This window comes from Homo sapiens, chromosome 6, assembly GCF_000001405.40.
Source record: "Homo sapiens chromosome 6, GRCh38.p14 Primary Assembly".
NCBI classification, from domain to species: domain Eukaryota; kingdom Metazoa; phylum Chordata; class Mammalia; order Primates; family Hominidae; genus Homo; species Homo sapiens.
In genome coordinates, this window is record NC_000006.12 from 83,652,207 (window position 1) to 83,676,109 (window position 23,903).

Here is a 23,903-nt window from a genome sequence, read left to right on the forward strand (position 1 = left end):
GGTATAGCTGGATTAGTATCTACCATATTTGTTACTATTTTCTATTTATTGCCTTTGTTCTTTGTTCCTATTTTTGTCTTCCACTCTTTTCTACCCTTTGTGGTTTTAAATGAGCACTTTATAAGATTCCATTTTCTCTCCTTTCTTAGCATATCAATTACACTTCTTTTTTACTTTTTTAGTGGTTCCCATAGAGTTTGCTATGTACATTTACAACTAATCCAAGGCCACTTTCAAATAACACCATAATGCTTCATTGATAGTGTGAGTATAACAACAAAACATCTGAATTCCTCCCTACTATCCCTTGTATTACTGCTGTCATTCATTTCACCTATATATAAGCATATAGGTATATGCTTTATAAATACATAAACATATATTATTGCTATCATTATTTTGAACAAACTGTTGTCTGTCAGATCAACTAAGAATCAGGGAAATAAAAGTTTTTATTTTACCTTCACTCACTCTTCTTTTGATATTCTTCCTTTCTTTATGTAAACCCAAGTTTATGACCCATATAATTTTCCTTCTCCCTACAAAACTTCTTTTAGCATTTTTCGCAAATGCAGATCTACTGGCAATAAATTCTTTCCAGTTGTGTTTGACTGAGAAAGTCTTCTCTTTCACTTTTAAAGGACTATTTCACAGGGTAAAGAATTCTAGGTTAAGTGGGTTGTCTCAGCACTAAACATTTCACTCCATTCACTTCTTGTTTGCATGGTTTGTGAAGTGAAGTCATACAAAATTCTTATTTTTGCTCCTCCACAGACAAGGTGTTTTCTCCCTCTGGCTTTTTCATGATTTATTTATTCATCTTTGATTTTCAATAGTTTGAAAATTATATGCCTTAAGGTAGTTTCGGGGGCATTTCCTACTTGGTGTTCTCTGAGCTTCCTGGATATGTGGTTTGATGTCTGACATTAATTTGGGAAAATTCTCTGTCGTTATTATTTCAAATATTTTGTCCCTTTCTCTCTTTTCCTTCTGGTATTCCATTATACATATATGACACCTTTTGTTGCTGTCCCACAGTCTTATTCTGTTCTGATGTTTGTTTTGTTTTTAGTTGTTTGTGTTGTCCCACAGTCTTATTCTGTTCTGCCGTTTTTGTCTTGTTTTTAGTCTTTGTTCTCTTTGCTTTGTAGTTTTGGAGGTTTCTATTGATATATCTGTAAGCTTAAAGATTGTTTCCTCAGCCATGTCCTGTTTGCTAATAATCCCAAAGTGGTTTTGCCCTCTAGTACTTCTTTTTAGTTCTTTTTTAGGATTTCCATCTCTCTGCTTACATTGCCTATCTGTTCTTGCATGCTGCCTATTTTATCCATTGGAGCCCTTAGCCTATTAATCATAATTGCTTTAAATCCCCAGTCTGATCATTCCTTCATCCCTGCCATGTCGGGTTCTGATGCTTGCTCTGTCTTTTTGAATGTTTTTCTGTCATTTAGTATGACTTGTAATTTTTTCTTGATAGCTGTACATGATGTACCAGGTAAAAGGAACTGCTGTAAATAGGTCTTTATTAATGTAGTGTTAAGGTGCGGAGAGGGGAAGTGTTCCATAGTCCTGTGTTTAGGTCTCACTTTTTAGTGAGTCTATGCCTCTGGACTGTGAACTTCACAAATGCTTCTTGGTTTTTCCTCTTGGACAAAATAGATGTAGTGGGCTGGAGTTGGGTATTTCTCTTGCCCCAGTCCAGTTAGGCTCTGATAAAATCTCAGCACATCAGGTAAAGCTCTGGTTAAGTAGTTGCTCCTTCTTAAGGACAAGAGTGCTCTGGCATATTTCAAAATGGTTCCTTTTCTCCTCCCCGTCCTGGAAGCACAAGGAGATTTTTCCCTAATATTTACTATAGGAGCCTAGTTGAGCTCCTGGAGGTAAAACAAAAGTGTGGTGCTCTCTATGACTGGGTTCCCTTGGAGTTTTTAATTCTCAGACTTGGCCACACTGAGCATCCAACAATTCATTAATCACAGTTCAGATCTTCCTACTTCAACAGTAGTTCCTATGGCAGCTTCCACTCGTGAGTCTCTGTTCCAGTAATCCATGACTCCTTGTATTTGTCTGTCTCTCCAATCTTGGGGGCAGAGGTTTGCCCTATGTCCTCCCCTCTCTTGTGGATCCCAGAAGAGCTGTTGATTTTTCAGTCTGTTCAGCTTTGTACTTATTTTTAGGACATATTGGTGACTTCTAAGCTCCTTCCATGTGGAACTGGAAACCGGAAGTCAGATTTACCTACCCAGACTTTTCAAGGACACTGACTCTAAGCTCATTCTACTCCTTGGGGACCCAAAATGTCACTATATGTTTTAGCTATCTGAGTGGAGGCTTTATGGGGATTAAGTTACAAAAGGAAATTAGATCCAGTGAATGCACAAGACTATCTGTGGTTATATCCTCAGTTTTCTGAATGCATAGTTTGAGTAGATATACTTCAAAACTAGCAGAATCCACACTGTTTTTCTGACTTCTGCAAAGATACGGGGGTAGAAATTCCATCACATTCTCAGTATACTCGCATATTTGTTTTATGAAAAGATGTATGTATTTGAGAGGTTAACAGTAGATTATAAACTTAATCAGATGATAACTGCTAATGTGCAGGTTTCCAGATATATCCTCATTTACCAGAAGAAAATCAATGTAGCTCCTGGTACCTCATAGGCAGCTACAGAACTAGGTAATGATTTATCTCTACCTCAATAAACAGAAACCATCAGAAGTAGTTTTCTGTCATCTAGCAGAGATGCCATTAAAGCCTCACTGTCTTATTTCAGGGATATCAACCTCTTTGGCTGTCATACTCCCATAGGATATCATTTTGATGACATAAGGCTGAATGTATTTAGTGGGCAAGAACTGACGGTATCTTAGCTGCCTTGATAAGTCACATGCATGTCAAAGTATGGGAGAATCCATGAAAATTCAGAGACCAGTCACCTCAATGAAGTTTCTAAGGGCCCCAAAGACTGTGCATTTCAGAGAAATCCTTGCCGTGTAAAAGAGAAATTTTGTACCTTGCACTCTTTGTAACTAAAAAGAGGCAGAAGTCTGCTAAGCTGCTTTGGTGGCAACATAGAGGACATGTGTATGTGCTGCTCTAAGCAAAGCATCTGGTATAGTGTCACATATGAGTCAGGCTCAGATTAAGGGAAGACTCTGCAACTTCTCCAAACTGATGCCACGTGGGGCTCTGTTTCAGCAGATCTAAAGGTACTTAAAGTGTGTACAGCAGATTCAAATGCTGTAGAGTACCTCTGGTACACTCCAATACAGGCCTCCAGTGCTTTGGAGTAGGGCTATGTCTTCTTCACACATTAGCTAATCTCCTTTGGAAAAAATGCTCTTGGTTTACTTTTACCTCAGTTTACCTTGGTTTATTTTTACCTACCTTTTACTTTTAGAGACTTAAATTTTGACCAAAGAACATCAAGTGATCATCAGACCTAAAGTGGGTGTTATCTAATGTACCAAATAATAAAGTTGAACAAGTGCAATCATACTCCATTATCAAAAGAAGCAGTCTATAAGAGATAAGCCTCAAGCAGGTTGTGAATAAGCAGGTAGATTGTATGAACAGATGGTTCATATTCCCAGTGCATCTACTCTTTTTCTTTCCCATTTCTCCCTCAAATTATACCCATGGACTCTGGGGGAGTTCCCTATCACCAGCTGACTGAGGAAGAAAACATTCAAATTTGGTTTAGAGATGGTTCCTCATGTTGGCACCACCTGGAAGTGAAAAGCTGAATAATATCCCCACAAAGGGATGGCCTTGACAAAGAAAGAAATCTTCACAGTGAGTCAAATTTCCAGTAATATATCTATCTAATTTTCCACTTTATGGTAAAGGAAAAATGGTAAGAAACATTGAACTACACCAAATTATGTGTAGCAACTAACTGTTGGCCTGGATGATAAGGTACTTGAAAAAAATAAAACTGGAGGATTGGTGACAAGGAGTTCTGGAGAAAAGGTGATGGATGGACCTCTCATAATGGATAGAGAGCATGAGACTATATTCATCCCATTTGAATAAAAACCAAAGGGCATATCCCACAAAAAGGCTCTTTCTAATCAGAGGGCGGCTAAGAGAACTCTATAGGAAGTGGGTATATATCAGAAATGGAGGTTATGAATAGGCTAAACAGCATAGGCTTCCCATCGCCAAGGCTTATATGCCTATCATCACTGCTGAGTCCTCAGTTGGCCAACACCCTGGATCAACACTGAGCTTTCATCATAACACGATAGGCCAGGGACACCAGCCATCCACCAAGTAACAGGTTGAGGATTAATTCCTTTTACTAGGGGTGGTTAGCAGCAATCTGTCTACACTATGATTAGCACCCAGTTACCCTAGATATGGATTTACCATCTCTGCCCATATCGTTCTGCCAGTACCACCATCTGTGGACTTACTCACTATCATGATATTCCACACAATATTGCCCACCAAGTGAGACAACAGACTCACCCCACAGAATTCATCAATCTTACTGTGTATCCCATCAGCCCAGACATGTTTCGGTTGTTCCACCTACCGAGTAAGTTAATAACACCATCATTGTAGCAAGCAAAAAGTTTGATAAGATCTTTGAAAAGAAGCATAAATGCTGCATTTATGACACCATTTGTTAGTTCATTTGGATGCACCTAGAAAAACAGAAAAATTTAATATTAGCGGCATATCATTAAGTCTTAATTTTTCTTGAATCACATTAAAATGTCTCAAATGACTACTAAGAAATTCATGAATATTCTACAAACATTGGTAATTCATTTAGTAACCCTACCAATATCAAAAGATGGACTACATATGTTTTTGCTTCAATTTAAGTCAATGAGGTTAGTCTTATCGATTAAAAGACAGATATATGCATTATATATATATGTGTTTATATAGATTAATCCATAGATTATTCAAATTTAACTTTTGAAAATCTGGTGTTTTGTTACTTTTACTGTTATGTTACATTTCTTCCACTTCTCCTATCTAATAGTTTCTGTGAAAGGATTCAGGCTCCAGGGGCCTGCAATGACTCAGTGTGGAAGAACAGCATGGGGAATACCTTAGTCAGCTACCTCTAAAATAACTCTAGAGACTCATAACTGTTCACCTATTCCAAACTACTCTAATCATCAACACAAAGGCACATAATTTCTCCCCACTCCTCAATCCTTTTCTTTTTCCCTTTATGACTTTCTCTTTTAAGACAGAACCCTTACTAAGGTCAAGGAAAGTAAAGAAAAATAAACGAATTAAAAAGAAAATAAAAGCTAAAAGGCAATTCGACAGATACTTAGTGAAGTCCTTATCATAAAATCTGTTAAAAAATAAGATGGTTTGCTGCTTTTATGAAATTTCACAGGAGTTAGGTGTTGTGATTAGCACCTAATTATAGACTAAACCATACAATCTTAACAGAGATGCTAAGTTACTAAAATTTGAGGAAAATCTTTGTTGTAGGCAACTACCAAAATACAAAAAGGCTGAACAATATGAGTTAATAATGTCTCTACATGTCAAAATATTTTACTTTCATGAATCAGATTTCAGATTTTTTTTTTTTTTGAGACAGAGTCTCACTCTGTCGTCTAGACTGGAGTGCAGTGGCATGATCTCAGCTCACTGCTACCTCTGCCTCCCAGGTTCAAGCGATCCTCCCACCTCAGCCTCCCAAGTAGCTAGGATTACAGGCATGCACCACCACACCTTGCTTTTTTTTTTTTTTTTTTTTGGTATTTTTAGTAGAGACAGAGTTTCACCATGTTGGCCATGCTGGTCTCAAACTCCTGACCTTGTCAAGTGATCTGCCTGCTTTGGCCTCCCAAAGTTTGGGATTACAGGCGTGAGCCATGCCCAGCCTCAAGATTCTTCAAAATTAATTTTTTTATTTTAAGATAACTCTAAATTTACATGCAGGTGTAAGAAGGAATACAGAAAGCTCCCATATACCATTTACCCAGTTTATCCTAATGGTAACATCCTATAAAACTATAGTACAATATCACAACCAGGATATTGACAATGAAACAATTCACTAATTTATCTAAGATTAAACACAATTCTTTGGTGGATAGTGTCATTTAAGCAATCTGCATAAAATGGTTTCTAGGCCAGGCGTGGTGGCTCATGCCTGTAATCCCAGAATTTTGGGAGGCCGAGGTAGGCAGATCATGAGGTAAGGAGATCGAGACCATCCTGGCTAGCATGGTGAGATGCCATCTCTACTGAAAATGCAGAAAATTGGCCGGGCATGGTGGCGGGCGCCTGCAGTCCCAGCTGCTCAGGAGGCTGAGGTAGGAGAATGGCGTGAACCCAGGAGGCAGAGCTTGTGAGCGGAGATCGCGCCACTGCACTCCAGCCTGGGTGACAGAGTGAGACTCCGTCTCAAAAAAATAAATAAATAAAACAAAATAAAATAAAATAAAAAATAAAAAAGATTTCTAACAGCAGGTCAAGTTATTTAACTGCCTGAAGGCACATCTTGCAGATACTTCATCCTGTCAAGTACAATAGGAAGTCACTATCCTGCTCAGAACATGAAGTTCCAAGAATGTACCATTCATATTTTTCCATGACTTATGTAAACACCTGGTAAACTGCTTAGAAAAATCAGGGGAACCTAAATAATCTTTACCGAGCTTAACAGCCTGAACTAAGTATTCATCTAAATGAAGATCTATAGCTGCTTCCCGAGGAAATCTTTGGATTTACCTGTAGCCCATCTTCAAATGAAAGACAACATTGATTGTGTATGAAACATTTTCTAGTGAGATACATACATCAAATTCAAGCAGTGCATCAATTTGTCCCTGTAGTATTGGCATACTCTTTAGCAGCTTTTCGGGAGCCATTGTCCTCATTACACCATCGGCCCTACAATTAAAAAAAAAAAAAAGGTACAATTTCATTGGATATGGACAATTCAAGACCATATGAATTGTTCTAAGCTGTTCCCCCACACCACCCCATTTCCTTATTAATCCTGTGGGATCAATTTGAGGTATTACAAGGTTGTAGTCATTTCCCCCCTCTATCTATTATCTATTCTTATTCCTCCATTGCACAGGCAATGCTTGTTTGTTTTCTATGTGTACTGCCCTTAGGAAGAAAGCAATCGGGTCTGGATAAAAGAGGCAAGCTGAATTTATGAATGGATTTTTCTAAATCTATAATAAAGGTAATAGTGTTGAAAAGTATGTTTTCTTCTTTTTTTTTTTTTTTTTTTGAGACAGTCTCACTCTGTCACCCAAACTGGAGTGCAATGGCATGATCATAGCTCACTGTAATCTCAAACTCCTGGGCACAAGTGATTCTCCTGCCTCAGCCTCATGAGTAGCTGGAACTACAGGTGCATGCCACCACACCCGGTTAATTTTTAAAAAATTTGTTTTGGTAGGGATGGGAGTCTCACTATGTTGCCCAGGCTGGTCTTAAACTCCTGACCTCACAGAGTCCTCCCTCCATGATCTACCAAAGTGCTGAGACTATAGCCATGAGCCACTTTGCCCAATCAAAATATAAGCTTTCAAAAAAGCCAGTTTTTTTTTCTTTTTTTTTGAGAAAGAGAAAACATGTCTTGGAAGTTTATAAAACCTGTATGACTTGGAGTACAAGGTTTATGCTATTAACCATCAAGGGAAGAAAAATGCATGCTGATAAGAACACTTTTCCCAAACAAAGGTAAGAGTTTAGCTACAGAAGATGAGACTGAAGGTTAATGCTGATGTCGGAGGGTGCACTGCACCTTGTCTCCACCTTCAGGTCTCTTAGGAAGCCCTTGTATCCAGTGATGGTGATGGTTGAGGAGCAGCAGTATTGTAATAGCTGAAGAAAATACCCAGATGATGTGGACATGCTGATCATGGCAACTTTCAGGGTCTCTCCCAGACCAACAGTGGAGAAAGCAACCTGAAGTGTCCATATGTGTTCATACAGGGGTGCAGAAGTTTCTAGGAAGGCCATGGACCTACTGCAGAGGTCACAATGCAGCTGGGAACATCAGCAATGGTTGCATGGTGCCATGTAAGAAGTTAGAGGAAGGCATATGAACTAGAATCATCTCTCGTGAGAAGAGGGTGAAGGAAAACACCTACTTTTATAAAGTATTCATCTACAATAAATTATTTTGAATAGGCAAGTTGATGTTTTTCACCACCATGGTAAAAAAAGTAGCCCCAAACTAAGGTCAGGTTAGCCATTGCAAAAATAAAGTTACATCTTTTTGTGTGGATTCTTGAGACTAAAATATTAAAGCTGCTATAGTACCTTGCCATTATTTCAAATGAGGAACAGATATAAGATATGCACAAATGTGTGGCTGAATGCCTCTGACTAGATTTATGCATCTATTTAGAGGGAAATAAATGGTAATTATAGATAAAATTCAAGTGTTTCTGTTTCAATGAGGTTTTCTTAATTGGTAGTATTAACAATTAGTTTGATTATGGTGTGTGTTTATATATGTGTTTTCTAGAATGATACGTCTCTCAAAACCAGATCAAAGTTCAGATTCACCTCAATTAAAAAAAAAATATTTATATAGCTATTGGCTATTTTCCATCTTTTTTTTTTTTGACACAGGGTCTTAGAGACAGGGTTGCCCAGGCTGGAGTGCAGGGGCATGAACATAGCTCACTGTAGCCTCAGTCTCCTAGGATCAAGCAATCCTCCTGCCTTAGCCTCCCAAGCAGCTGGGACTACAGGCACACACCACCACGCCTGACTAATTTGTTTAATTTTTAGTAGAGAGAAAGTCTCACTGCATTGCCCAGGCTGGTCTTTAACTCCTACGTTGCCCAGGCTGTTCTTTAACTCCTGAGCTCAAATGATCCTCCCAGTTTGGCCTCCCAAAGTACTGGGATTACAGGTATCACTGTGCCAGGCCAAATAGCTATTGTCATCTACAGCCACTATACTTTTAAGTGAATCTTGTCTTAATTCCCTCCTTCTTAAATTATTTAAAGGTATATACATGTTTAAAAATTTTGAGTTTTTAACAAATAAAATGTTATATAATTTGTCCTGGGATTAGAGAGAAGAAAAAAATTTTATAGCATATAAACTGAGAAGCAAATCAGATTTTTCTGCATGAAGATATAAACAAAATAATGCATATTGCAACTTCAAGGCTAACTTCTACAATATTATTGAGTTCCTTTTTTTAGGTTATTGTAAACTGGGCCTTCAAGAAAATTAGCTGGCATTTAAGCTTAGTTAAAATAAATCAAGTATGCCTCAAAGACTTATTCTCCTCTAATAAATATAAGAAAGACAAAAACATACCCTTTCTTCACCCTGGCAAAATCAAAGGCCATCTGTCTGTAAGAAAAAGCCTTTTCATTCAAATATCTACTATAGCGCCTTATGAAGGTAGACATATCATAACCTGGGAGAGTGGAAAGAAGAAATAAAACTAATTAATAAAATACCTTCAACTGTGCTTTGCATAGTACTATTTTTTTTTAACTCTCTAAATGGTGATAGTCCTAGGATAGGGTCAATAACTGTATCAGATAGATCTCATTTAAAATCCTGCTTCTAGGCAAAAATACTTTTGCCATGAGGCATTCCAGGATTCTTCAATTACTTATTCCACCATTCCAGTACAGAATATGTTTTTAAATTTTCCTTGAACTTTTGTTCATTTTTCAAATAATGGCCAGTTTCAGACTTAATTCATGCAGCCATCTGATAATGTTCCATTTGCTTGATGTGCTTGCTTTACACACAACAGATAAACAGTGAATATGATAAATGAACAAATGAATGCAGTTCAAACCCTATTAATCCACACAAAACATTTCTTTAAGACTCGAATCACTTTTTTTAATTGAGAAGACATCTTTTATTTCATTGTCTCCTGTACCTTCATAAAAAACAACTGTGGGTCTAGCACACCCACTGTTACTTTTTAAGGTAAACGTGGTAAAAACGCCCAAAATAAACTTAATATATATTTTATATGCTGAGTTGTCTATAATTAAATATTTTAAAGCTATATTTAAATATAATTATTTTTACATTCTTAAATATTCAATGAAGCTATCAGTTGCAATGATTTTGGATTAATAGCCTCACTTCAAAAATCAAAGCATTGGCAAAAAATTATAAAATACAAATATTCTCACCATGGGATCCACTTTTGTCCAAAAAATTGCTGAGATTGAATAGTGTATTTCTAGAAGCCAAATATTGAATAAATCTCTGAAAAACAAAAATTAGAATTAAACACACATTTTAAAATCATACTTTTAAACAATTTCTGACACTAAAGCGATTTTTTTTTTTAACAAATTCTCATTGGGATCTCTTTTACTCAGTTATAAAGTTTCCTAGAATGCTGAATTTCTCTGAGGGGAAAAAAAGCTTTGTGAATTAGAATTAAATTGTACGATCTTTCATTTCTACACATAATGGAAATACTACAATTTATTAGGATTCAGTAGGCATCCTACATAAAATTGGTAATTTTAATTTTATCAGTATTTTCCAAAATAAATATCTTACGAATGCAATTTTCACTCAAAGATTCAAAGAAATCTTTCCTATGGGAAAAATAATTTTATTGTTCCTTCTCCTAACATTTTTGCTTAAAAATAGGTTTACATGGTATATCCATTTTTTGAACCTATAATTTTAACACAGGCATATCTCATTTTATTGAGCTTCTTTTTTATTGCACTTTTTGCAAATTGAAGATTTGTGGCAACTCAGGGATGAGCCAGTCTATCAGTGCTCACTTTGTGTCACATTTTGGTAATTCTCACAATAGTTCAAACTTTTTCATTATTATTATATCTGTTTTGGTGATCTGTCATCAGTGATCTTTGATGTTACTAATGTAATTGTTCTGAGTTGCCATGAACTGTGCCCATAAATGATGGCAAACTTAATCAGTAAATGTGGCATATGTTCTGACTGCACCACCGCTGGTTGTTCCCCTGACTTTCTCCCTTTCCTCAGGCCTCCTTATTCCCTGAGACACAAAAATATTGCAATTAAGCCAACTAATAACCCTACAATGACCTCTAGATATTCAAATGAAAGGAAGAGTCACACATCTCTCACTTTAAGTCAAGAGCTAGAAGTGATTAAGCTTAATGAGAGTGGCATGTCGAAAGCTGAGAAAGGCCAAAAGCTAGCTCTCTTGTGCCAGTTAGCCAAGTTGTAAATATAAAGGAAAAGTCTTGAAGAAAATTGAAAGTGCTACTTTAATGAACACACAAATGATAAGAAAGTGAAATAGCTTTCTTGCTGATATGGAGAATGTTTGAGTGGTCTGGATAAAAGATCAAACCAGCTACAACATTCCCTCAAGCCAAAGCCTAATTCAGAGCAAGGCCTCAACTTTTTTTCAATTCTAGGAGGGCTGAGAGAGGTGAGGAAACTGCAGAATAAAAGTTTGATGCTAGCAGAGGTTAGTTCATGAGGTTTAAGGAAAGAAGCCATCTCCACAATATAAAAGTACAAGGTGAAGCAGGAAGTGCTGATGAAGAAGCTGCAGCAAGTTATCCAGAAGATCTAGCTGAGATAATTCATGAAGGTGGCTACATGAAACAGATTTTCAATGTAGATAAAGCAGCCTTCAATTGGAAGAAGATGCCATCTAGAACTTTCTTATCTAGAAAGGAGAATACAGTACCTGACTTCAAAACTTCAAAGGACAGCCTGACTCTCTTGTTAGGGGCTAATGCAGCTGATGACATGAAGTGAAAGTCAATGCTCATTTACCATTCTGAAAATCTAGGGCCCTTAAGAATTACACTAAACCTACTCTGCCTGTGCTCTATAAATGGAACAACAAAGCCCGGATGATAGCACACTCTGTTTATAGTATGGTTTACTGAATATTTGAAGCCCACTGTTGAGACTTACTGCTCAGAAAAAAAGATTCCTTTCAAAATATTACTGCTCATTGACATGCACCTTGTCACCATAAGAGCTCTGATGGAGATGCACAAAGAGATGCACGTTGTTTTCATGACTGCTAACACAACATTCATTGTGCAGCCCATGGATCAAGGAGTAATTTTTACTTTCAAGTCTTGTTATTTAAGAAATACATTTTGTAAGGCTATAGCTACCACAGATAGTGATTCCTCTGATGGATGTGGGCAAAGTAAATTGAAAACCTTCTAGAAAAGATTGACCATTCTAGATGCCATTAAAAACATTTGTGATTCATGGGAGGACATACAGATAGCAACATTAGCAGGAATCTGGAAGAAGAGCATTTCAGCCCCTATGGATGACTTTGAGGGATTCAAGACCAGTAGAGGAAGTAACTGCAGATGTGTGGGAAAATAGCAAGGGAACTAGAATTGGACATGGAGCCTGAAGATGGGACTGAATTGCTATAATCTCATGATAAAATTTGAATGGATGAGGAGTTGCTTCTTATGGACGAGAAAGAAAGTAGTTTCTTGAGATAAAATCTACTTCTGGTAAAGATACTGTGAACATTGTTGAAATAACAACAAAGGATATAGAAATTACATAAACAGCTGATAAAGCAATAGCAAGGTTTGAGAGGATTGACTCCAATTTTCAAAGAAGTTCTGCTGTAGATAAAATGCTGTCAAAGAGCATTGAATGCTACAGAGAAATCTTTTGTAAAAGGAAGAGTCAATTGATGTGGCAAACTTCACTGTTGTCTTATTTTAAGAGACTTCTGCAATTACTTCAACCTTCAGCAACCACCATCCTAATCAGTCAGCAGCCATCAATATCAGGGCAAGACCTTCTACCAGCAAAGATTACAACTCACTGAAGACTCAGATGATCATTTGATAATAATTTTTTAGCAATAAAGGATTTTTAAATTAAGATATGTACTTTTTTTAGACATAATACTATTGCACACTTAATAGAGTACAGTATAAATGTAAATGTAACTTTTACATGCACTGGGAAACCAAAACATTTGTGTGACTCGCTTATTGCAATATTAGCTTTTTTTTGCAGTGGTCTGGAATCAAACCTGCAATATCTCTGAGGTGTACCTATTCCTCATATCTCTAAGACAATGTCTAACTTAAAGTTTATTTTTTGTTAACTAGCTAAGGAGAAGATTAAACTTGTATTCTAGATGATCCGGAACTGTGTATTTCCTTTTCTTTTTCTCCTAATTAGTGAAAATTCAAAGAGCCTTAAATCATCACCATGCTCTTCCTAAAAGCCTCCTTCCTCCATCAAAAAAAGAAAAGTTTACTTAGTTTACCTCATTTCCATGCACCATGAGATGATGTGTTGTCACTAAAGCCTTAAACACAACCACCCAGCTACTGTTTGTTGCCCGCTCAAAGAGAGTGTCGGCCATCTGAGGAATATTAACATTGGTCTCGTTGGTAGCCTGGATCAAATCTATGAAAATAGAAGATATTAATCAATGATATTAACAATTACATGCAAAAATTCATTTCAAACTTGGAACATATAAGCCTGTTTACTAATATATGACCTTAAAAGTACTTTGATAATAGCTGATAACAAAATTTAAAAAATTAAACTGTAATATTTTACCCATGGACATGTACATATATTATTTACCCAATATATTTATTTATTCTTGAGTATATTTTGCTACTTAATTTTCTTCTGTACTCTCTTCTGAATTTACCTGTTTGCTGGTACTTATGCCATTTTTAAAATTATAAACTCCAGGAAGGCTAAGCCTCATGTATTTAATCTTCTTTGTTACTGCTATAAGCACAATGTCTCAAATGTGGGCACTTATTCTATATGCCATTTGAAGGCAATAACATAAATGTACTCTTCAAACTTAACAGCTAAAAGCATATCTCATTTGCATTTGAACTTTGAAAGGTGCTAGTAAATACACTTGTCATATGAGTGGCAGGATGAGGTCAAATATTAAAAGAGAAAAGAATTTTGTACACATGTAAGCTTTTGTAGAACAACATGCATGCATTAAATTACTATAATTTAACCTGAGTTTGTAAGAGAGTAAACCTTTATAATACATTCACTGTTCACATCTATTAGTATGAGTCCAGGTGTATTTTTTAAAAAAATTATCTACTGGCCAACAGGGAGTGCCCAGCATTCAGAAAAGCAGTTAATGCTGTCAAAGAGTTAGCTGGGACAACCAAAGATCATGTGCTAAGGAACAGAAGCTAAGCCACAGTGGGACAGTACAGACTTAAGTACTTCCAACAGTACAGGATGACCTCTTCAGGACAGCAGACACTGCATGACTTCTGTTACAGTCCACACTTATCTTGCAGAGACCTGCATGTGATACCCAGTTCCTAGGCAATCCCATGCAACAAACATGCGCTTGCAACAAACATGCACATGTATTCTTCTTACTCCAAATCCACACTCAGTAATCATTAAACTATACATTTTATGCATTGCATTTCTCTTCACAATAAATGTTTTTAAAAATTGATATTCTACCACTGAAAAATATCTAAACTCCTTAGACTAAAGGATATCAATAACTGTTCGGAATTATAAGTGGATCAAGGCAGGCTTATTTCTTAATTTATACTGATTTTAAATTTCTGTCATCATCCCCTTCCCATCAACACCCTTCTCTCAATATTTTCCTTTATTGGACTTTTACTCATCCTTCAGGAAGTCTTTCCTGGCCCCTTTCAAATGCAGTCCCATGTGGCCTTCCTGTGCTTTAAAACGTGAGGTACTTTGTTCCTGCTGGGTGTTCAGAATAGATGTATATTTGTCATAATTTCTACCATATCACAGCTCCTTAAAAGCAGTAATGTCTGTTTCACATACAACACTTTGCAGAGCACTGTGTACAATATTTATTGAGCAAAATGTATAAAAGACATACTTTAGCTAAAATAATCAAATGAGTCAACATTGGAAGGTGTAAATAACTCAGTGAACCAATATTTTCCAAATGACTAGCGCATAACATTACAAAATAACGCATGGGTAAAAAAATGCATTCAAAGTACCATATAGACCAATGCATTTAAACGTAACAGAAGATAAACAGTTCACTGATACAGTTTCAGAGTCAAGGTTGCAATTTAAACTTAAGAAACTACAACTTGGAGAATTGTAGTGTAGTATCAAAGAATATTCACAATTTTCTGAAAAGGTTATTAAAACAGTTCTCATTTTTCTAACTGAGTATCTTTATGAGGCCAGATTTTCTTCACACACTCTAACTAAAATAATATATGCAAACAGGTTGATTACAGAAACAGATATAAATGCTGGTCTTTTATTGAGTAAGAAATTAAAAAGATTTATAAAAATATAAAATGATAATATTCTTTTCACTGCTTTTTTTTGAGAACTATCATTTCCCCTAAAAGTATTATTTGTATTAACATGTTTATATGTAACATGTTAACAGATTTATTATTATTTAAAAGTGAATTTTAAAAAACTGTCCCAGTTGTAATTTTTATTTTGATTTTTATATTTTTTTATTATACTTTAAGTTCTAGGGTACATGTGTACAACGTGCAGGTTTGTTACATACGTATATATGTGCCATGTTGGTGTGCTGCACCCATTAACTCGTCATGTACATTAGGTATATGCATGGGCAAGGACTTCATGTCTAAAACACCAAAAGCAACGGCAACAAAAGCCAAAATTGACAAATGGGATCTAATTAAACTAAAGAGCTTCTGCACAGCAAAAGAAACTACCATCAGAGTGGACAGGCAACCTACAGAATGGGAGAAAATTTTTGCAATCTACTCATCTGACAAAGGGCTAATATCCAGAATCTACAAAGAACTCTAACAAATTTACAAGAAAAAAACAAACAACCCCATCAACAAGTGGGCAAAGGATATGAACAGACACTTCTCAAAAGAAGACATTTATGCAGCCAACAGACACATGAAAAAATGCTCATCATTACTGGCCATCAGAGAAATGCAAAGCAAAACCAAATGAGATACCATCTCACACCAGTTAGAATGGTGATCATTAAAAAGTCAGGAAACAACAGGTGCTGGAGAGGATGTGGAGAAATAGGAACACTTTTACACTGTTGATGGGACTGTAAACTAGTTCAACCATTGTGGAAGACAGTGTGGCAATTTCTCAAGGATCTGGAACCAGAAATACCATTTGACCCAGCCATCCCATTACTGGGTATATACCCAAAGGATTATAAATCATGCTGCTATAAAGACACATGCATACGTATGTTTATTGCAGCAATATTCACAATAGCAAAGACATGGAACCAACCCGAATGTCCATCAATGATAGACTGGATTAAGAAAATGTGGCACATATACACCACGGAATACTATGCAGCCATAAAAAATGATGAGTTCATGTCCTTTGTAGGGACATGGATGAAGCTGGAAACCATCATTCTCAGCAAACTATCGCAAGAACAAAAAACCAAACACCACATGTTCTCACTCATAGGTGGGAATTGAAGAATGAGAACACATGGACACAGGAAGGGGAACATCACACACCGGGGCCTGTTGTGGTGTAGGGGAAGGGGGAGGGATAGCATTAGGAGATGTACCTAATGTAAGTGACGAGTAATTTTTAATATAGTAAATATCTCACATACACAAAAGCTTTTTCAGTTCGTTAGTAATTTAAGAGTACAAAAGAGTCTTGAGACCAGTTTGAGAGCAACTATTCTTCATCTATAGACACTCCTTGACTTATTGTGGGTAACATCTTATACACCCACTGTGAGTTGAAAATATTATTAAGTTGAAAATGCACTTAACACACCAATCCTACTGGACATCATAGCTTAGCTTAGCCTACCTTAAATGTGCTGAGAACACTGACATTAGCCTATAGTTGGGCAAAGTCATCCAACACAAAGCCTATTTTATAATAAAGTGTTGAATATGTCATGTAATTTATTGAATACTGTACTGAACGTGAAAAACAGAATTGTTTCACACCATTGTAAAGTTGAAAACTCAGAGGTCGAACCATCATAGGTCATGGCCATCTGTATACCTAGAAAGAGAATTGCTAGGTTGTAGGGTATGCACATACTTAAAAGTGTTTTTCCATAGTCATTGCTTCAAATGCTCTCATAAGTAGTTATTATATAAGTTTCTACTTCTCTACTCTCTCACCAAAAAGATAATTTTCATTTAAAGAATTTAAAAAAATAAAGTATAGATACAAACACACAGAAAAAATTCTTAAAAATTGTGAGATCTAAATGCTATGTATAGGTCATGTATCAGTTTCTTAGAATTCTAAGTTTTATTTGAACTTGGGAAGATATATCTGGTATCTTTTTGGTAGTTTATGAAACAGCTTTATTGAAGTATAGTTGATATTAGAATTGCACATATGTAAAGTGTACTATTTGATAAGTTTTGACAAACCTATACACTCATAAAACCAAAACCAAAAATAAGATAATGAACATATCCATCACCTCCAAAAGTTTCCCCATACCCTTTAAAAATTCCTCTTTCTCTTCTCCTGCTGTCCCTTAGCAACCACCAATTTGCTTTCAGTCAATATAAATTAGTTTGCATATTCTAAATTTTATGTGAAGGGAATAAAACTTTTTTCTTGAGAGGGAATGTCTGGATTCTTTCAGTTAGCTAATTACTTTGAGATTTATCCATGTTATTGAATGTATCAATAATTCATTCCTTTTTATTGTAGAGGTGTATTCCATTAGATGAACATACAAAAATTATTTATTCATTCACCTGTTGATGAACAATTAAGGGTGATTCCAGTTTTTGGTGATTACAAATAAAGCTGCTATGAACATTTACATATATCTATTTATACGGACATATGCCTTCATTTCTCTTGGGTAATTTTCTAGAAGTAGAATAGTTGAGTCATTTTTAAGTAAACATTTAATTTTAGGGAACTGCTTTCAGAAAGCTGTTTTTCAAACTACCAAAAAGATACCAGATATATCTTCCCAAGTTCAAATATTTAATTTTAGGGAACTACTTTCTTGCCTGATGGCATTTCTACCATGCTACATTACCACCAGCAGTGTATGAGCATTCTAGTTGCTCTACATCTCTGCTAAGACTTGATATGGTCCTTTTTTTTTTTTTTCTATTATAACAGGTATGTTGTGATATCTCTCGGTGGTTTTTCTTTGCATTTCCCTAATGACTATAATGGTGTTAAACATTTATGTCACGAGCTTTTCATTTGTTTATTTGCCATTGGTATACATTCTTTTCCTATTTTTATTGGATTATTTTATTATTGAGTTATTCTGGATCAAGTCCTCTATCATACATGTGACTTGCAAATATTTCCTCTAAATCTATGGCTTCCCTTTTCATTTTCTTAACAGTGTCTTTGAAAGAACAGAAATTTTTAATTATGATGAAGTCCTATTTATGGAGGTTTTCTTTTAAGAAATCTTTGCTTAATCCAAGGTCACAAAGATTTTCTACGTTTCTTCTACACATTTTATAGTTTTAGGGTTGTACGTACACTTAGGTCAATAATACATTGTTAGTTTTTATAAATGGCATGAGGTATGGATGTTTCATTTTTCTGCATATGGATATCAAATTTTTCCAATGCCATTTGCTGAAAAAAAACTATTCTTTCTCCAGTGAATTGCCTTTGCATCTTTGTCAAAAATAAATGGACCACAAATCTTTGAGTCTCTTTTAGGACTCTTTATTCTGTTCTGTTGACCTATTTGTCTGTCTTTATACCAATACCACACTACTTTGATTACTATAAATTTATCATAATTCATAAAATCAGATAGTGTTAGCCCTTCAAGTTTATTATATTTTGTTCAAAATGGTTTGTGGCTTTTTTAGGTCCTTTGTATTTCCGTATGAGTTTTAGACTGAGCTTATCAACTTTAACAGCAACAAAAAAGTCTTCTGGGATTTTGAATGGGATTATGTTGACCCTATAGATCAATTTGGGGTAAACTGGCATCTTAACAATATTGAGTTTTACAATCCATGTACATGGTCTGTCTATTTATTTTGGTCTTTAATTTCTCTCAGCAATGTTTTGTTCTTTTCAGTACATCAGTCTTACACATATTTTGCCAGATGCATTCCTAATGTTTTATACTTCTTCAAGATATGGGGATATTTATTTTTCATTTCAGTATCTAAATGTTCTTGCCAATATTGAGAAATATAAATGATTTCTGTATCTTGATCTTGTATTCTGAAACTCTGCTAAACTTCCTTATCAGTTCTTTTTGGTAGAATCCATCACATTTTCTGCATGTATGATCATGTCACTTGTGATAAATTCAGTTTTACTTTGCCTGGTGTTCAATATACTGACAACACTTATTTAATATGCTTTTGTCCAGTGTTTTGGTTGTCTTAGGCATGAGTGAAAATAAAGACAATCTCACTCTGTTACTTGTTACCCCATCTTGCCACAAAGTATCAGTCTCTCTTTTTGGTAGTTTGAAGCAATTGAAAATTAATCTTAGAAAGATTAATTAAATCTCTCTAAGGTGAGATTTTCATAAACAAGAGAATGAAGGAAATAGGTATAAGCAGAAAGACAACTTTAACTTTCAGGAGATATAAGTAATTGTTCACTAAAACAAGAAAATAGCAACAAATATAAATAGTTCTCAAATTTGTGGTCACCTACTTCTTTTCCCACTACTATATGAGATTGTCAATCACTTAAATCCTAGGAAAAGATAGCTGTTTATGACAGGGCCCTTGTTATCTGTTGCTTGGACTGCTCTATAAACTCTTCTCTGAGTCATCTCCAGCACAACTAGATACTTTTGTGAAAAATTAATTACCCATGTGTGCCCTTCTGATCATAGCTGTCACTTGCTCAAAACCCCCTGGGGCCTACTGCTGTCCATTTAATAAAATATAAATGTCTGAAGTATGTACTTTATACCTTATATTTTGAGTATACGGCCTCTCATCAGAAGACTCAGCTACCTTACTAATCTTTTCTCTGCTACAAATTGTGCCAACAAAATTATGATACCTTTACGTGCTATTCTCATTGCCTAGAACGTCTCTGCCTTCACTCTATAGAGAGCTCATCTCTCAAGATCAATCTCAAATACAATATTCTCCACGAAGTCTTTTCTGATATTACCTTCAAATAGAAGAGAGGCTTTGATTTTCTCTTCCATGCAAGTAAGGCAAAGGACATGGGACTGGGGGCAAGAGGCCTAGTTCACAATCTCACTCTGCTACTTATGGACAAGTTAATTTGACCACTCTGCAGCTCCATTTTTTTTTTCACCTAGAAATAAGAATAATATTAACTATTTTATGTGATGAACACTGTCATTTGTGGTAATTATCACCCTATATGACTCTACTGTAGTCCTTATTACACAGAATTATCATTGTTAGTCTACATAGGTCTCTCCCCGACTGGAGCTCAAGGTCTAACAGGTAATAAGGGGGCCATATCTGTATTTATGGATCCCTAGTACCTACCACAGGTCTTCATGTATAAAAGACACTTAGTAAATGAAAGATGGCTGTAACTGGCTTGTCATATGCCTGAATCTAAAATACTTTCATACTAAAATTAATAGTAGATATTATAGGCCAATTCTCTCAATAACTCTTACTAGACATAAGTGAATCAACAAATTAGAAAGAGTTACTTTCTATTTCATTGTTATGTATACTTTTATCAGCAGCCTAATTTAGGAAAGTATCCTCTATTCCATTTTAAAATCTCTCCCTAAGTTTAATTATATGACTCTGTAAAACCCCACTAGTACAGCAATTTTCCTTTGCACAAATGTCAGAAAGGGGAATAAAAACTGGTCATTCTTTTATTTTATAATCATCTTGTAAACTTGAGCTTCCACAAGGAGAAATGAGAAACTACAGACCAAAGTCCAAGGTCACACTAAAATGCAGTTTTAAAATATTCCTGTCACATAATAATAGCTCAGAATATTTGCCACATGGACAAGCTTATATATATATGCAAGATTATTCATTGTAATTCTTTTAAATTTACATCTCATTCCTTCCTTCTTCTCTTTCTGTTATGGACTGAATATTTGTGTCCCCTCAGCCAAATTCATATGTTGAAATCTACCCCCAATGTAATGGTATTAGGAGAGGAAGACTGTGGGAGATGATTATGTCATGAGAGTAGAGGCCTCATGAATGGGATTAGTATCTTATAAGAGAGTCCCCAGAGAGCATACTAGTTCTTTCCTCCATGCAAGGGCACAATGAGAAGTCAGCAGTGTGCAGTACAGAAGAGACCCCTCACCAAAACCTGACTATGCTGGACTTCCTATCTCCAGAACTGTGAGAACCAAATTTCTGTTGTTTATAAGCATCTAGTCTATGATGTTTTGGTAGCCCCTGCAAACTAATATCCATTGTACCTCCCTCCCTTCCTTGATCCCTCTCTTCTAGTTAACAACAATCAAAGAGTTCAAACTTGCAAACATTTGTAAACAGAAATAAATTGTTGCTATCCAGACAATACGAAAAAGTGATACAGATGATTCAGACGTTTTTCTTCTTGGGTTCAGCACAAATGACAGACATTAACATTGCCTCACCAACAGCTATTCCTTCCCTCTTCTTTGCCAGCAGAATCCTGCCCCCATCCCTTCTCTGCCCATCAGAAAGGCCAAAATGCCAGACAGGTGCAATCCAGGCTTCCCTTGTAGCTAGATATGTAAGCAGCAGTCTGCTGAGTCACTTGGGAAGACTCTTTCTTTCATAATAAACAGTTGTTATTAATATAATAAACAGGATGGAAACATGTCTCTTCTCCATCAAGAATGTTGTTGTGTATGCATGTGATGTCATGGCCATCTCAACAGGAGGACAGACTTCATCTATAAGTTGAAGATAACAGATGGGAGTTATAGAAAGCACCTGGGTCTGAATCATGTTTTTTGTTTGTTTGTTTGTTTTGTTTTTAACTGAAAATCAAACCCTGGAAGTACCCTTGCTGGGAACTTCTTGTTAAGAAAGACAGTAGGCCAGTTGTGGTGGCTCACGCCTATAATCCCAGCACTTTGCGAGGCCGAGGCGGGCGGATCACTTGAGGTCGGGAGTTTGAAACCTGATCTCAGCCTGGCCAACCTGGTGAAACCCTGTCTCTACTAAAAATACAAAAAAGTTAGCCAGGCACAGTGGTGGGCACCTGTAATCCCAGCTACTTGGGAGGCTGAGGCAGGAGAATTGCTTGAACCAGGGAGGCAGAGGTTGCTGTGAGTGGAGATAGTGCCACTGCACTCCAGCCCGGGCGACAGAGCAAGATTCCATCTCAAAAAAAAAGAAAGATAATAAATAATTTTATTGTTTTGTCCTTAGTTGGGGTATTCTGTTACTTGCAACCAAATGCATGCTAAGTAATACAAGCTACAACAAAACACCAAAGAAAAGGAACCAGACCTATGGCCTCTCAAGTATCTTCCAGCTCTAAGTTTCTCTGAGTATCTTACTGCTCCTCAAAATCTCAAGGCTTCTATGCTTTCAAAGAATGTTCAAAATTCTAGTAGTGTCTTCCTGTGGGATAAGAGCCCTTTCTAAGTTCAGTTTCAGGTGAGTTGGTTACAGATATTTAATGGGTTATATTTCGGGAAGGAGAAAGGGGCTATCTTTTTCCCATGCGGAATGAAGACCTAACAATGTGAAACAATTTTATAAAATATAAATTATGCATATAGAAGTTCTGAGGTAACATGGGAAAGACAGGGAAATCATCAGAACAGGAATCTAAAGAGGATATTGGACATTTCATGCACTTCCCAGAAGAAGGGAGGCTAAGGAGAGGTATTGGGTGAACTGTGTAAGTCTAGGCGAGACTGAGCTAGAGGGGCTCTCCATTGTCAAATGAAACGACCTACTGACGGTTTAGGTGGGAGGGATACCTGAAGGGGAGGTGCTGAGAACTGCATAAATGAGAACAAAGGAGGGGAAAACAAGAATAAGAAGTGATAACCTTTAATTGCTAACTGTAGACAATGGATGAATAGGGCAAGTAAGAAAAGAATAGACACCCTCTAAGCTTATAGAGATAAAGGGGAGCAGCTTATAAATATGCCTAATACAATAAATTTTATTTGTAGAATTTAACAACAGATATCCTTCCTCAAATAAATGCTTTAAATAGAAAGATAATGTGAGCTTTAAAATACATTATTTACTTTAGTTGATACAGCTGAATACTTGTATTTTTATATTAACATGTGAACTTCAAAGTAACATTATTTACTTTAGTTGATATACCTGAATAAATACTTGTATTTCTTCATTAACATGTGAACTTTAACGTAATCTAGTTTCTAAACTATTTCAGTAACTTCTTTCATTTTGAAAAAAATATATATACTTTGTAATTTTTTGTAGTCCTCTGTGGAAATATATGCTACAAAAATTCTCTTACACTATTTGTTCCCCAATAGGATTTTGGCAGATTCAAAATTAGGAAACGCAGCATATATCACAGTTATTGAGTTAAGATTTTGGAGCCAGAGGAGACCTAGTTCAATTACCTTATATTATTTAATACTGTGTGAACTTGAGCAAAGTTGCCTCTCTTAACCTCCATTTCTTTATTACCGTAAGGGAGATAATAATAGCACCTACCTGACAGCTGTTTTACTAAACTAGGTAATGCAAGCAAAGTATATAGCACAGAGCCTGATACACTTGAAGGAACACACACACACACACACACACACACACACACAGAGTTATAATTAGATTCACCCTTTGGCTGCCAATGTCAAAAAAGATTTGGCCATGGCAGGAAGATTGCTTGAGGCCAGGAGTTCGAGACCAGACTGGGCAAAATGGCTAGACATCATCATCTCTACAAAAAGTCCTAGCTGCTGGGAGGCTGAGGTGGGAAGATCACTTGAGCCCAGTAATTCAAGGTTACAATGAACTATGATTGCCTCACTGCACTCCAACTTGGGCAACAGAGCAAGACCCTATCT

At 36.1% G+C, this 23,903-nt stretch overlaps 1 protein-coding gene across 72 annotated transcripts in view; it reads right to left on the reverse strand.

The window, feature by feature from the left end:
* SNAP91 (synaptosome associated protein 91) overlaps positions 1–23,903 on the reverse strand; it is a 156,509-nt gene that overhangs the window by 99,322 nt on the left and 33,284 nt on the right. For 66 of the 72 annotated variants that reach the window (NR_164843.1, NR_164845.1, NR_164846.1 and 63 more), the window contains 5 exons: positions 13,233–13,375; positions 10,141–10,216; positions 9,296–9,398; positions 6,793–6,886; positions 4,548–4,659 (listed from right to left, as the gene is read on the reverse strand). Coding sequence is in view for 68 of the 72 variants with exons in the window: in NM_001242794.2 (NP_001229723.1) it covers positions 4,548–4,659; positions 6,793–6,886; positions 9,296–9,398; positions 10,141–10,216; positions 13,233–13,375 (528 nt within the window). In the remaining 4 variants the exon portion in view is untranslated. Of the gene's footprint in view, positions 1–4,547; positions 4,660–6,792; positions 6,887–9,295; positions 9,399–10,140; positions 10,217–13,232; positions 13,376–20,062; positions 20,213–22,102; positions 22,225–23,903 lie in introns of all 72 variants that reach the window. The other 6 variants (NM_001376723.1, NM_001376726.1, NR_164844.1 and 3 more) reach the window with 4 other exon arrangements.